Here is a 16,915-nt window from a genome sequence, read left to right on the forward strand (position 1 = left end):
GCATCTTAGGGATCAATGACAATTTAAGTAAAATGAGGACTATTGTACATCTAATAGAATTTAATAAAATACCAAGTTTATATGTTTAGTAGTGTCCTAATCTTGTGAAGGGATTGAAGGTGTTTTCAAAATGTTAAATAGCAGATAGTATTAATTTTTAAATTAATTAATTGCAAAGTAGGTGAGTAGGTCTGTAACAGCACAACTATAACTTCAGGCATCAGAGAAGTTGTTTTTTCTCTCTTTGAGCTCTAGTCCAGACAGTAAACTTCGTTAAGTAATTTACATTTGAAACTTTTGCTGGAGACCAGGAAATTTCTATGGTATGTTTGTAGAATAAAAAGCCATGTAAGTAAATAAATGAAATCACTGAAAAGTGCATAAGAGGACGCTTAAATCAGACTTGTATTAAAAGTTCTATTTGTGAGAGGTAGCTTCTTGAAGGGAGGAAAGTATGCTTTCTTTGATTCCATGAAGCTCACAGTCATGCTGTACCTGCTGCCTATCCGCTGCATCTGAAAGGGTAGCTTATCTAAGAAGTTGAATGAAACAAACTTCAAATGATAAACAGAAAGTTATTTCATCAGTCTTTAACACTTCCACCTAAAGGTTCACAGAAGAAATAAAAGTCATAGAGACTAGCCTCAAGTTTTCCTCTTTTCTTGTTAAAGGTCTGTGGGAGAGAAGGTAAAAATAATCAAAACATTTTTCTTTTAATTCAGTTATTCATGTTCTTTCTATTTTAAATTGTTGAAGATGAGCTAGCTGTAGGTTTATTGTTTTAAATCACAGCTCTGACTTGACATACTGTTTTTAAAACTTGTGGATGTGTGTGTGTTTTTTTTTTAATAAAGATAAGAGAAGTCATTACTTTGATTTTATATTCATCATAGTCATGGACTCATAGGGTCTTGGGTGTTCATTTAGTTTGCAACTACATTGTAAAGATGCTGAAACTAAGGCTCAGAAATATTAACCACTGGTCCAGGTTGATTTAGCTAGCAGAACCAGGACCAGAAAATAGGTTTTCTGACTATTGGTCAATCCACCACTATTGTATGTAGAGTATAATCTCTGTAACTGAGAAATATTGTGCTGGATTATATGAAGCCCCTTTAAAAAGATTTATCTGGAAGTGAATTTCACTGAGTGTTCATTTTGAAAAGTCTGTTAGTTGTTAAGTTGTTTAACATAATTTTATTGGCAGTCTGGGGGTTTACCAAAAAGTAGAAAGAGGATCCAGCAGGATGTTGTATAACAAGAAGGAATTGTGTTGAGCTTCCATGGTTTTGACTTCTCAGGGATGAGAAAAAAAAATTAGTTGAGAATAAATGAGCATTCTTCCTTTCTTTTCTCACATTTGTTGTTGATACTACCATTATTTATTTCAGTCTTCAAGATATATAAACTGTTTATTAAACTATCTTTTGGTGAGGCTGTTTTGAAGTTCTTGACTAGGCCTGAGTGAGTCAGGCATGACAAGTAGATTTACTTGATTTCTCCTAGGTGTAAAGTACCTAGGGGTGTGCTGGGCCTCAGCATCAGTATGCTTAAACACATGCCTTTAAGATATATTTAATCCTTAAAGAAAAGGTAGTTATTCACCAGGAGACTCTGGCCCAAACATAGGACTTTATTGTAGTGTTAGTGTGATAAGCATGGTGGCTTAAAAGGAGAATAGCTTTCTAAATCTCATTTCTAAATCTCTTAGTGAGGTGAGACAGAGTGAATAAAATCCAGGGTCTCTGTTTTTGGAGAATTTGCCCACTTCTTATATGAAGAATATTATTAAATTTTTTTTTTTCGAGACAGAGTTTCACTCTGTCACCCAGGCTGGAGTACAGTGGCACGATCTTGGTTCACTGCAACCTCTGCCTCCCGGGTTCAAGCGATTCTCCTGCCTCAGCCTCCCAAGTAGCTGAGATTACAGGTGCACACCACCCCGCCCAGCTGATATTTGTATTTTTAGTTGAGACGGGGTTTCACCATGTTGACCAGGCTGGTCTTGAACTCCTGACCTCAGGTGATCTGCCCGCCTCGGCCTCCCAAAGTGCTGGGATTACAGGCGTGAGCCACTGCGCCCAGCCTAAAATCTTAAACTGGATGAATTAGGTTGAAATAAGTCAAATAATCTACATTAGACCTTCCCTTATGTTTATCTGGGTGGATATAAATGTGGACCACTGAAGATAAGTTAGCTAGTGGAATTATACCAGGTAGATCTCATTACACCTCTTTCACTTTTATTAGACCTGAGTTATATACAGTATTTCAAGGGCACTTGTGTAGTAGACAACGATTGTCCTACTGGTGTGTTTGCATACTGTTTATAACTAAGGAGATGTTTAATGTAATCATGTTGACTGAAGAACAAAAAGGGTCATAAATTTCGAAAGGAGAGCTTTATTTCTCATAAAGGGTTGCAGCCTGCAGGTTGGTCATCCTGACAAGCTGGGAAGCAAAGCCTCCCACCAGAATTTGGAAACAGATACTTCCAGGGAGGGGCAAAGGGAACAGGAATTTATGCTGGGCAGGGTGGCCAAATATATATGTTCAGTAAGCTCTAGGAGGCATCATGAATATTCATGGAAGGAGAAAATGTACACATGTGCAATTGAGCTTCAGACCTTTCCATGGCATGGAACCCGTGTCCAAAAAATGGCAGCATTAGCATGATCTCGGGGTGGAGTTTTCGATCTTCTGACATCAAAAGATGAAGCAGAGCACACAAAAACCTTTACTGTGCTTCCTCTGTAGACTGGCCAGAACCACTCTATATGGTTTGGCTGTGTCCCCCCTGACCTAAGTCTCATCTTGAATTGTAGTTCCCATAATCTCCTTAATGTGGTAGGAGGGACCTGGTGGGAGGTAATTGAATCTTGGGGTGGTTACCTCCATGCTGTTCTCCTGATAGTGAGTTCTCATGAGATCTGATGGTTTTATAAGGGGCTCTCCTCTGCCCTTAGTCTGTACTTCTCCTTGCTGCCACCATGTGAAGAAGGATGTGTTTGCGTCCCTTTCTGCCATGATTGTAAATTTCCTGAGGCCTCCCCAGCCATGCTGAACTATGAGTCAATGAAATCTCTTTCCTTTATAAATTACCCAGTCTTGGGTATGTCTTTATCAGCAGCGTGAGAGTGGACTATACACACTCCATGGTTGGTCTCTTATCAGGAAGAAATGCTGCTGGTTAGTTGTTTTGTTGAAACTGCAAAAGGAAGGGGCAGCAGTTAGGCTATTGGTTGCAGTCAGCGGTGGATCTTTTTTTTTTTTTAGAGACAGGGCCTCTGTCATCCAGGATGAAGTGTTGTGGCCCAGTCATAACTCACTGCTGCCTCTTAACTCTTAGGCCCAAGGAATCCTCCTTCCTCAGCCTCTCGAGTAGCTGGGACTACAGGCAGGTGCCAGCATGCTTGGCTAACCTTTTTTATTTTTTGTAGAGACAGGGTCTTGCTGTTGCCCAGGCTGGTCTCGAACTCCTGGTCTCAAGTGATCCTTCTGCGTTGGCTTCTCAAAGTGCTTGGAATTATAGATGTGAGCCACTGTGCCCAGTTGAAGTTCACGTTATTAATTAACTAATTAATTAATTGACAGTCTCTGTTGCCCAGGCTGAAGTGCAATGACATGATCATGGTTCACTGCAACCTCAGCCTCCTGGCTCAGGCAATCGTCTTGCCTTGGCTTCTCAAAGTGCTGGAATTACAGATGTGAGCCACAATGCCTAGCCTCAGGTTGTTTAAAAAGTGGCTGATGGGAATGAGGAATAAAGAAAAATGTCATTCTCAGTGGTGAAGAGTGACTTGGGCACAATATGAAACTGATTCCCTGGCATGTTGTATTTGGGAAATACCAGGTGGACTGTTTGAAGTTAAAACGTTGGTTAAAGGTAATGAAAAATAAAGTTGGATTCAGCATTATCAGATTAATGAGGAATCCACTCTTTGGAGTATTTGTGTGTGCACAGTGCATTATTGCTGAATGCGTCTGTTATAGGTAGTTCCTAGTTTATAAAGCAATATTGTATTGTATCGTTGGGTTTATGTTGTGGCGATCAGATTATGATGTGATGAGTGACAAGTCATTTAACCTCTCTGAGATTGTCACTTCTTCTGTTAAATTAGATGCTTTAATCAGGTCTTATTATCTACCACCCTCCTAGGGTTGTTTGGGGAACTACTGATTGTACCTTATAGAGTGTTGGGATCTGTTAAAACAGACATTGTCTGTAAAGTATCTGCTACTGTGTTTGGCACATGTTAGGCACTTGATACATTTAGATTTAAATTTTAAAAGGCTGTTCCACCCATAGGAGCAGTCCGAACTTAGGATTCTCTGTATTCTGTAGTGTAAATTGAGTGATACATTGAATAGTTTTACTTCCCAAATTCAAGGAATGATACACCAAGAAAAATAGCAATTTCTGTCCCTTTCCTGATCTAGCCCTTGGTAAAAAGCTAATCTTTAGTAACTTTTAAAAAAAGGGGTTTAGGGGGAATTCATGTGGAGGTCAGAGTGGAAGAAGGTGTGAGAGGGCCCAGCAGAAGAAAACTTGGCTGCCAAAGTGTTTGAGTCCATTGGCAAGTTTGGCCTGGTCTTAGCCGTTGCAGGAGGTGTGGTAAACTCTGCCTTATATAATGTGGATGCTGGGCACAGAGCTGCGATCTTTGACCAATTCCATGGAGTACAGGACATTGTAGTAGGGGAAGGGACTCACTTTCTCATCCCATGGGTACAGAAACCAATTATCTTTGCTGTTCTCGACCACGTAATGCTCCAGTCATCACTGGTAGCAAAGATTTATAGATTGTCAATATCACACGGCGGATCCTCTTCCGGCCTATCGCTAGCCAACTTCCTCATATCTTCACCAGCATCGGAGAGGACTATGATGAGCGTGTGCTGCCGTCCATCACTACCAAATCAAGTCAGTGGTGGCACGCTTTGATGCTGGAGAACTAATCACCCAGAGAGAGCTGGTCTCCAGGCAGGTGAGCGACGACCTTACGGAGCGAGCAGCCACCTTTGGGTTCATCCTGGACTACGTGTCCTTGACACATCTGACTTTCAGGAAGGAGTTCACAGAAGCCGTGGAAGCCAAAAAGGTGGCTCAGCAGGAAGCAGAGAGGGCCAGATCTGTGGTGGAAAAGGCTGAGCAGAGGAAAAAGGCGGCCATCATCTCTGCTGAGGGTGACTCTAAGGCAGCCGAGCTGATCACCAACTCACTGGCCACCGCAGGGGACAGCCTGATCGAGCTGTGTAAGCTGGAAGTCGTGGAGGACATTGCATACCAGCTCTCGCTCTCGGAATATCACCTACCTGCCAGCAGGGCAGTCCGTGCCCCTCCAGCTGCCCCAGTGAGGGCCCACCCTGCCTGCATCTTCACGGGCCAACTGGCCACAGCCCCGATGATTCTTAACACCGCCTTCCTTCTGCCCCCACCCCAGAAATCACTGTGAAATTTCATGATTGGCTTAAAAAGTGAAGGAAATAAAGGTAAAATCACTTCAGAAACCCCATCCCCCCAAAAAATGGGGGGGCAGGGTTAAAAGAAATTCAAGTAAAATTCTCATTACATAAAATTAACCATTAACGAATTCACAGTGTACGATTCAGGGGGCTTTAGTACATTCACACTGCTGTGCAACTTTCACCTCTATCTAGTTTCAAGGTATTTCTACCACCCCAAAAGGAAACACCATACCCACTAAGCAGTCCCTCTCTATCCTCCCATCCACAGTCCCTGGCAACCACTAATCTGCTTTCTTCCTCTATGGACTTACCTATTTATTCTGGATGTTTCGTGTAAATAGAATACATTTTGTGTCTGGCTTCTTTCATTAAGCATGATGTTCATATATAAGGTTCATCCACATTGTAGCATGTATCAGTACTTAATCCCTTTTTGTGGCTGAATAATATTCCATTGTATGTATATACTACACTTTGTTTATTCAGCCATCATTTGTTGGACATTTGAGTTGTTTCTACCTTTTGGCTATTGGCAGTGGTGCTGTTAGGAACATTCATATACAAGTTTCTGTTTGAATACAGGTTTTCAGTTTTGGGGGCTATATACCTAGGAGTGGAATTGCCAGGTCATATGGTATTTCTGTTGATCTTTTTGAGGAACTCCCAACCTGTTTCCTTCAGTGGCTGCACCATTTTATAGTTCTACTAGCAATGTACAAGGGCTTTAATTTCCCCACATCCTCACCAACACTTAATTTACATTTTAAAAAATTACGGTCAACCTAGTGTGTCACTGTAGTTTTGATTTTCATTTCTCTAATAATGTTGAGCTTTTTTCTTATGCCTGTTGGCCATTTGTATATCCTCTTTGGATAAATGTCTATTCAAGTCCTTTGCCCAATTTTAAAATTGGATCATCATTTTGTTACTGAGTTGTACAAATTCTTTATATATTCTAGATAATAAACCTTTATTATATAGATGATTTGCAAATGTTTTCTCTCATTCTATGTGTGGGTTGTTGTATTAGTATGTTTTCACACTGCTGTAAAGAACTACCTGAGACTCTGTCATTTATAAAGAAAAGAGGTTTAATTGACTCACAGTTCTGCATGGCTGGGGAGGCCTCAGGAAACTTACAATCATGGTGGAAGATGAAGGGGAAGCAAGGCATGTCTTACCTGGTGGCAGGAGAGAGAGATCGAGGGGGAACTGCCACACGCTTTTAAACCATCAGACCTCCTGATAACCCACTCACTGTCACGAGAACAGCATGAGAATTCCTATTTTCATGAGGCCCCTTCCGTGTTACTCCCACATTTTGGGTATTCCCAAAGGAAGCCACAAAGTAGTTTGAATCAGATCACACTGAGGCATAAAGATTGATAGCCTTTTAATTCTTATACATGGGTTTGCATTTTTAAAGAGGATGTGGCATTAACCAAAATGAATCATTATTTGGAAGGGTTTTTAGTTAACCAAATAAAGTGAAAAAATCAGGCAGAAGGCATTTTTGGGTTATGGTGCCACCAGAAGGAATCGCAGGGCCTTGCCTGGAAGTCGGCCCAGGGGAGTAACTGCCTTTAAGCAAATCTGCTTTTCACAGTTTTTTTTTTGTTTTCGTTTTTCTGTTCTGGACCTATAGATGCTTTGAATTTTTGTTATTGTTGTTGTTTGGGTTTGCCAGTTTTTTAAGTGACAAGTAGAACAGTCTGCAGTGTCTGGTTGGGTCAAAAGAAGGGGAGTAAAGAGTCGAAGAGAGGGCTGCTCAGTGGGGAACCTGAAAGGACTGAGTGGGAAAAAGGGGACTCTGTATTGGGACAGGACATTTGTAAACTGGGCATTTTCTTTCTATAATAATCTACTGTTCTTGAAGAAAGATGTGTGCTTCCTCATACCATGGGATTGTGGAAAATGCCCACAATATCTGGGTGTATGCATAAACTAATATTTTTCTGTAAAATTATTTTTATAATATGATTAGGAGAACAAGTTAGAGTGGTCTTATATTGCATCACTTTCACTGTTTGTCTTTAATAAAAATGGAGGAAGTTGCTGCTGTTTTATTAACTTGCACCCTGCATGCTTCTCTTCTTTGTTCTTTGTTAAATATGAGCTGGCGTGTGTTAAGACTACGTTAGCATTTGCTCTCAGGGACTTCTGTGGTTTCTAAATTCAGCACTGCTAAGCCCCTACACTGTTTGCCTGAATCAGTTGAGACTGCTATTTTTAGCAACAAAAGGGAATTGAAATAGCAATTTTCTTTCCATGTAATAGATTCCCAAGAGGAATACTGATGCAAGCTCTCTATCATTTTCTATTCCTACCACCCTCCTCCCAAAGCCCTCAGAGGAAAGGCAGCTGTCATGGTTTGCGGCAGTATTAATCTTTAATCAATCGAGTGTTTTCTGCATTCAGGTGTTCGGGGGGAAAAAAGAGTCACAAGAAGGAACCTGTTTGGAATAACTAAGCTCTTAGGCATGGACTTTACAGTCAGAATTTTGTGGGTAGTGGCAGGGAATAGACAGAAGAGCTAAAAATAGTGAGTTTGCTTCCAGTGTTGCTCTAGTCTATTTTTGATGTTTGATTTTGATAAGGTTGATTGGGTTCTTACTAAAAATATCTGTTCCTAGCAAGTTGAGGACAAAAAGAGTAGAATATTTTTAACCTACACAAACTAAAGTATTTTTGTTGACTGTATAAAATCTGGAAGTGGAGCCCTGGTCAGTTGCCAGTATTTTATATAATCTGTAGCAAGCTAGACACTTCTGGATGCCAAGTTGGGCTATTCTTTATAGTTGTCAGTTTCCATCTTCTCAAAGGCTTGTAAATTTGGGTTCTAGTGTTATATTTGTGTATGAAGACATAAGCCTTTTTAAAAAATCTTCCTTTTTCCACTTTCCTTCTTTTCTTCCTCTACCTTATAGTGCCACCCATGACCATCATCTGTACTGTCCCAACCCACAGGGTTCTGGGTGATACCATATAGCTTTTTTCTGTGTATTGTTAAAAGCTACCCTAACTTATCCACGTATTTCATAGCAAAGTGGAATCTGAGGACACCAGTGTTAAATGAAGAAGCAAATCTTAGAGACAAGAATAGTGAACTGTCCGGCCAGGCGCAGTGGCTCACGCCTGTAATCCCAGCACTTTGGGAGGCCGAGGCAGGTGGATCACGAGGTCAGGAGATCGAGACCATCCTGGCTAACACGGTGAAACCTCATCTCTACTAAAAATACAAAAAATTAGCCAGGCATGGTGGCGGGCGCCTGTAGTCCCAGCTACTCGGGAGGCTGAGGCAGGAGAATGATGTGAACCCGGCAGGCGGAGCTTGCAGTGAGCGGAGATTGCCTGGGCGACAGAGCCAGACTCTGTCCCAAAAAAAAAAAAAAAAAAAATAGTGAACTCTCACTACTTTGGTAATTTAGCATGTTTGGTAAAGCATGTTTTGGTAAAACATGTTTTAGCATGTTTCACTGGCACATTATGAGTGAAGTAGTTCTCTCTAGCACTGAAAATCATCACTTGTCTCTTTTTTTTCTTTGACTTTTAAGTTCAGGGGTCCATGTGCAGGATGTGCAGGTTTGTTACAGAGGTAAACATGTGCTATGGTGGTTTGCTGCACAGGTCATCTCATCACCTAGGTATTAAGCCCAGAGTCCATTAGCTATTCTTCCTGATACTTTCCCTCCCCCAACCCCCACCCCCTCCAACAGGTCCCAGTGTGTGTTGTTCCCCGGAAATCATCACCTTTCAAGGACAGCCTCAGAATTCTTTGAAAGTGCAAATCTACAGGTTTATCATAAAGTTAAACTTCTCTCTGTTAAAGTTCTTGAAAATCTCACTTTTAGATGATTCTTGACGTTGAGAGGAGGCTGAAGAGTGTAGGGGTTGTGTAATTATTTCTAAATAAGGTGTGGAAAAAGCAGTGGGTAGGGTCATAAAAGGTTAGTTTTCCTTTTATAATCTCCATTCATTCACTCATCCATTCATACAGTAAAACCTCATTAATCACCTGCTTTTTGCCAGGTTCTGTGCTAGCAGTTAGACTGTGATGATCCAGACAGACCCTGCTCTTACAGAATCCTGTGTGATGAATGTCATGATGATATTGTCCAAAGGACGACCAGCATGGCTAGATAGTAGGAAAGAGAGTTTTATTGGCAATATCAGTTTGCAAAACAGAGAGTCTCCAGCATGAACCGAAAGCACTCTCCAAAACAAAAAGAAAAAAACTAGAGGTTTTATAAAAAGAAGAAATGTTACCTATTGCTCTTTGAGAAAGTTCACTGGCTTTGGGTAAGGGTTTGGGGAACTGGCAAGTCCTGATTGGTGAGCAACTGCTGTGGACAAAATTAGTTCCAGAGTTGCAGCAAACATAGATAAAACTGGTGTCAGGTTACAACGAGCAGTTTCAGCAGTCAAGCTTGCAGAGAATTACATTCTTGGAGCAATGTTTTGTACCCTAAGGGCTTTTCCCCCTGGCTTCTTGTCTCTGTTTCAGTCGGGTGTGACAAGAGTGACCCAACTGGCATGATCAGCTTTCACAAAGGGGGAGTTCGGAGTACTATGGGGCAGAGAATTCTGTATGAGGTTCTAAGTTAGTCTACAGGTCAAGGAAGGCTTAATGGGAGATGAGACGGTTTAACTGAAAAACCTCAAGGATGGGAGGGAAACACAGCTAGAAGTGTGTCTTAGTTCATTTGTGCTGCTATAATAAAATACATAAAGAACAGAAATGTATTTTCTCACAGTTTTGCATGCCAGGAAGTCCAAGATCAAGGTGCTGGTAAGTTCAGTTGTCTGGAAAGGGATACTGTGTGTTTCCAGGATGGCACCCTGTTGCTGCATCCTTCGAATGCTGTGTCCTCACAGAGCAGAAGGCAGAAAGTTGGCTGAAGGAACACTTCATGAAGATTCTTTTATAAGGGCCTTAATTCCACTCATGAGGGAGGAGACTTCATGGCCTAATCACCTCTTAATGTCTCCACTTCTTACTACTGTCACATTGGCCATTAAGTTTAACACCTGACTCTTGGAAGGGACACATTAAAACCATAGCAGAGTGTACGTTGGAGGTGTAGAGAACATTTTCGAAGAGAAAGCATGTTACCTTGGAGGAACTGTAAAAATTTCAGCACAACTGGGGCATGCTTGAGTGGAAGGAGGAAAGTGGTAGGAGTAAGGTCAGCTCATGGAAGACCTTGTAAAGAATGAGGGGAGTGAGAAGCCAGTGACAGGTTTTAGGCAGGGAAGTGAAGTTCAGATTTGCACTTTGGAGTGATTGTTTTGGCTACAATGTAGAGATTGAATTGGAGAGGAGTAAGAACGGGACCAGGCGAATGCGTTAGAAGGCTGTTAACAGTAGTTCTTGTGGGAGATGAATGATGGTAGCTCTAGGTGGTAGCAATGGGAAGAAGTGAATGAATTTGTGTTTCAGTTTTTATATAGTTGGCAAAAGGGAAATGTAACTTCTTGGCAGAGAAAAAATGGTGTTTGAGAAAGATAATTTTTAACTGTGTATAGCATGAATTGAGTGAGGAGGGATGAAAGATTCCTCGTACAAGTCCTTGTGTTTGGGATGATAGCGTAGATTGGGGTAGTAGTTGTGAGAATTACCTGGATGATATCAGTGACATACCTTGAGCAAATATTCTTATAATGATGTGAATATTATTTTGTTTTCATAATTTATTTTATTGACCGTTTACGCTTACTTTTCCGGGCCTATCATAGTTGCTTTAATAAGACAAGTTTATTTTTCACCCACTTTAAAGACTAGAACTTTTGTATATGTTTGATTCCTTATGATAAACAGTAAAAGAAGAAATGATTGGGATTTTAAAATGGCGTGGTAATTCAGTGGTGTTATCAGGGACCTTGATTCCTATGATACTGTTCCATTATCTTAGCCCATGGCTTCAACCCTAAGATTACTTCATGGTTCAAGAGACTACTGCAGCTACAGCCATCACTTTAGAATTGACTAGATGAAGGGCAAAAGGGGCCTGTCTCTGCCAAGTCAGCTTCCATTAAGCAGCCTTTTTCAAAGTCCTTCACAACCTTGCTTCATGTTGTTCCCTGAAATTAATCATATGGCCACTGCTAGCTGGTAGGGAGGTTGGAATATAAGTCCTTATTCCAGGCCACAATATGCTGGGTTAAAAATCAGTATTCTCCTGCAAAGGAAGAAGGGAAGAATGGGTATTAAGGAAGGCAACCAGCAGGCTCTGGCCCAGATGTGCATTTAACACATGAAGGATGGCCTCCCCAGGGTAGTTTTTGCACATTGTATCTTATCATTTCAGTGTTGCTGTGAATGCTTCGTTTTTTTCATTTTAAGAAACCACAAAAAACAAGCAGTACTTCTGATTTGGATGACTTGGAAGCTGGTCTTTGTTTTATTTGGTTTTCATTGAAAATTGGTATTATAAGGGTGGGAGTGTTTAGATCAGTGTTTTCCAAAGATCAACCAAGAGATTATCTTAGGTACCACATTGATTAATATTTTTAAATTTTGACATTCATATGTTTTTTACACTAATAGTCTATGTTAATTGAAACTGATGGTCCTTTATAAGAAGCAATTAAACAGTAATCAAGTAATCAAGTTTTCTATTAAATTTTAGTTAAGAAAAAATTTCAGTTTTAAGAAAACTTAAGTGACCTTGAGAAACACTGATTTAAACAAGACTACCCTGATTTTGGAAAATTGGAGTAGATGAGTTTGCTGGCTCAGTTTACACCATTTTTCTATTCATAGTAGCAAAGGACTTTAAAAAAAAATGCAGTACATGCACATGGTTAAAAAATGCAAAGAGTTAAAATAATGATAAAAAGTAATCTCTTTCCCATCTTTCCCTAATCCCCCAGAAGCAACTATCAATAGACTTTTGATTTGAGATGTTATACTTTGGTTTACCTTTCTAAAATTTATGATGAAGAATTGACTCCCCAGACAATATAGTTTAATTTTAAAATAGTGAAAATCACACTATTATTTTATAAAAATAAAAAATTATTGAACTTAACTGAGGGATTTTCTTTTTCTTTTTCTTTTTTTTTTTTTTTTTGAGACGGGGTCTCGCTTTGTCGCCCAGGCTGGAATGCAGTGGCGCGACCTCGGCTCACTGCAACCTCCCCCTCTTGGGTTCACTCCATCCTCCTGCCTCAGCCTCCCAAGCAGCTGGGACTACAGGCGCCTGCCACCACGCCTGGCTAATTTTTTTGTGTTTTTAGTAGAGACAGGGTTTCACCACGTTAGCCAGGATGGTCTTGATCTCCTGACCTCATGATCTGCCTGCCTCGGCCTCCCAAAGTGCTGGGATTACAGGCGTGAGCCACCGCGCCCGGCAACTGAGGGATTTTCTATCCAACTACAGCTGCTATCTCTGCTACTACTGTTGGAAGACATATAGCTTTAAGGCAAAGGAAATATATATATATATATATATATATATATTTTTTTTTTTAAATTGAGACAGGATCTCACTCTGTCACCCAGGTTGGAGTACAGTGCCGCAATCATAACTCACTTCATCCTCAACTTCCTGAGCTCAGAGGATCCTCCTGCCTCAGCTTCCCGAGTAGGTGGGACTATAGGTGTGTGCTACCACATTGGCTAATTTTCTTGAGTTTTTTTTTGTAGGATTGGGGTCTCGCTATGTTGCCCAGGCTGGTCTTGAACTCCTGAGCTCAAGCATTCTTCCCACCTCAGCCTCCCAAAGTATTGGGATGAGCCACTGTGCCCCATGAAAATACCTTTAAAACCAAAAGCAGGACAACCCTTATTCCCACTGTCTTAAATAAACAAATTTGAATTTTTTCCATGTTTGTTGAGTAGGACTTTTTCTTTCATAATTGACTTAAACTTGGGTATGTTTGTATGTTATTGCAAATATAATACATTACCCATCATGTAACTTGTAGATCTAAAGGCTTTGTCATTTCCTTTGCTGGGGAAATGATACTTGGTCTCCCATTGCCTGACCACTGTGTATAACACTAATTATTGTAGAACTACAGTGGTGCTATAGAGATGGCTAAGAGAGGCCCAGGATTTCCAGTTTTTTTGTGTGTGTGTTTTTTTTTTGTGCCCATAAATAATTTTTACACTTCTCTGTTTTCTCAGAAAAAATATTTACTTGTGAGGTAATATTTGACTTACATGTAACTGGGCAGTGTTGGATTTGGTTTTGAGAAGTATGAGAAAATGGAAAAATGATATTTTTACCTGAAATATCAGAGGTTAAATTTTTAATATTTGTACAATGTAAAGTCATATTGTTTCTGCTTATATTTAAAGTCCTAACCATGAAATGGGTAATTTATAGAATATCTAATATCGAATGTGGACCATTGTATTCTCGATAGTCATACACATAATAGTTTCTGAAGACTGTTAGTTTCACTTAAATTTGATAGTTGCTAGCAGGAGATAGGAAAAAATGTTCTTGCTGGGCATAAATCTTTCTAAGTATGTTTAGTATCATTCTCAACTAAAGTTAGTGTACTTTGGTATAATATGCTTAAGAGGAACCTTGGGTGCTTCTAGTTTTAAAATGATGAAGTAGCAATACTTTTGACCTTTCATCTCTTGGAAATGTTCTCTAAAGGCTGGAAGAATAAGAAATGGAAAGCTCCATTTTGATGCAACTAGGGAACTTCTGTCATCCCTCATCCCCAGTCACAGCTATTGAAGGTGGTGGAGTGGTAACTGACTTCCAGAGCAGACACCTGAGTCCTCATAGTGGGGCCACCATTGGGAAACAAGCAAGTTTTGTCCCTTGGATCCCAGAACAGCACAGGAATTGGAAGTATCAGGTATCTCAAAAGACAGGGGTGGGGCAGATGTGCTTGAGACTCAGGGAAATTAAGCAGCAGAAGCCCTAAGATGAGACACCTGACTGAGAACAGAGGATGAGTAAAACACCTGCAAACTAATAACTGCCCAGCAGCCAGAAGACTGGAAATTAGGGAATGCTTTTTAAGAGACACTGAAGGGCCCCACAGAAGAGACAGATACTGACTTTTGTGGATTCCCCAATGACAAAGCTGATTGGCCCGTTGATTGCATTGTATTGAGGGTCACAGTGTAATCACCTCACCTATGAACTCTAATCGATATTTTAATGCAGCCAAGATGAGAGTGACCAAAACAATCAAGAAGGAACTTAGAGGAACAAAATATAAAGAGTAGAAGAAAATGTAAATGTGTAAACAAACTATAATTAATATCCTCAGAGATTAGATAATGGATCTATAATAAGAACAAGATGCTGTTAAAAGCGAGAAGGAGAGTGAGAGTGTGCAAAAGGGCAGTCGGAATATGGAAGATTCTTCAAAGTAGCAAAATTGACAACCTACATTTAAAAAGTACATAGATGGTTTGGAAGATAAAGTTGAAGAAATTTATAGGAAAGTAGAGCAAAAAGAAAAGTAAGATTAATAGAGAAACTGTTAAGTCCAAATTCCAATTTATAGGGATTCTAGGAAGAGAAAAATGTGAGGCAGATATTATTAAACAATTAACATAAGAAACTTTTCAGAACTGAAGATCATGAATTTTAAGACCCACCAATGCCTAGCACCAGTGAGTGGAAAAACACCCACTCATTTGGGTGCATTTTCATGATGGAGTTCTACAGACTAAGTGATAATTGTAAAAGCCCCAATGATAAAAAAAAAAGCAGGTTACATAGAAATGGTGGGAAGTAAGAATGGTGAAACATTTTAAAATGATACTTGCGTTAGAAGACAACGGAGAGTTGTCTAAAATTTTTTTGTTAAAAATGATTTCCTACTTAGAATTCTATACCCAGTTAAGCTATTATATGTGTGGTTAGAAAATAGACTTTTTACAAAAAGATATACACAATTTAAAAAATGTTGTCTTTTAAACTGTCATATAAGGAGACATGATGACTAAATGTGGTATATCCTGGATATCCTGGATGGGATCCTAGATCAGAAAAAGGACATTCAGTAACAAGTAAGGAAATCTGAATAAGATATGGACTTTCATTAATTGTATCAATATTGGTTCATGTGTATGTGAGGTGTATTCAGGAATGTTCTCAGGAATAACACCTGTGAGGAAGCAAAAGAAGCAGAATTGAGCAGAGGGAGAAATTGAACTATGATGCAGGTATAGCAAAGGTTGTAGCTGATACCATTGGCCCTGAACATAGGATGGCTCTAGAGAGATGCCTAAATGAGGTAAGGGAGCCCAACCTTTGTCCCTGAGTGTGGCCTCGCCATTAGACATGTACTGCCCAGGGGAGCAAGGCAGCCCGCCTTTGGCTGAGAGCAGTTACTGGGAGAGACTCAGTCCTGAGCTGGCAGCAGGTAACACTCCTGGCAAGAAAGGATTGATTGAGTACCTCTTTGCCGGAAGGGAGGATCTGGCTGGTGCACTAACAGTATCCATTACAAACTCCAACAACTGGAGAATCAGGAAAAGGAAGACAATATACATGAGGCAGATTTCAGAATCTCTAGACCTGGCATATTCTGGCCTTTCTAAGACTGTTTTTAGTTTTATGGTATGCTGGTTTTTAGATCAGCCCAAAGTTGGCAATTTTAAACATGGATACGCACATGCAACAGTTATCTGTATTCTTTTGAAAGAGATTCCAGTCAAATGTTTAGATGCACAGTACTGAGTGACTTTATGTAGTTTCATTCTTCAGCATATTTTCATTAAGAGATTTCTGAGCCCTTAATCTGAGAAATCTAGTGATACTGCCATCAATTCATTGCTGTAATCATATATATAGTCATATGTCATTTAATGGTGGGGATACATTCTGAGAAATGTGTTGCTAGACAACACATTTGTTGTTGTACAAACATCAACAGCCTGTACTTCTACAAATCTAGATGGTTTAACCTACTGTTCATACCTAGGTTATATGGTATGGCCTAAAGCTCCTAGGCTACAAACCTGTATATAATAGCATGTTACTATACTGAATACTATAGGCAGTTGTAACACAGTGGTATTTGTGTATCTAAATATATCCAAACATAGAAAAAGTACAGTAAAAATATGGTACAAAAGATTAAAAAGGGCCAAGGATGGTGTCTTATGCCTGTAATCCCAGCTTTTGGAAGGCCGAGGTGGGAGCATTGCTTGAGGTTATGAGTTCAACATAGCAAGACCTGGTCTCTACAGGAAAAAAAAAGGTTGGTCAGGTATGGTAGCATGTGCCTGTAGCTACACGGGGGGCTAAGACAAGAGGATCACTTGAGCCCAAGAGTGAGAGGCTGTAGTGAGCTATGATCACACCATTGCACTCTAGCCTGGGTGACAGAGCAAGACCCTGACTCTTAAAAATAAACAAACAAAAGATTAAAAATGGCACATCTGTCTAGGACGCTTACTGTGAATGGAACCTGCAGGACTGGAGTTTTTCTGGGTAAGTGAGTGAGTGAGTGGTGAGTG

The 16,915-nt window shown here is 40.1% G+C and overlaps 1 protein-coding gene and 1 pseudogene across 7 annotated transcripts in view; both read left to right on the top strand.

Annotated features, from left to right (window-relative positions):
• The window catches only part of HSD17B12 (hydroxysteroid 17-beta dehydrogenase 12), a 299,895-nt gene that overhangs the window by 172,489 nt on the left and 110,491 nt on the right, over positions 1-16,915 (top strand). The window lies entirely within an intron of this gene.
• Positions 4,483-5,509, top strand: PHB1P2 (PHB1 pseudogene 2; annotated as a pseudogene).

The sequence above is a fragment of the Homo sapiens genome, chromosome 11 (genome assembly GCF_000001405.40).
Source record: "Homo sapiens chromosome 11, GRCh38.p14 Primary Assembly".
NCBI classification, from domain to species: Eukaryota; Metazoa; Chordata; class Mammalia; order Primates; family Hominidae; genus Homo; species Homo sapiens.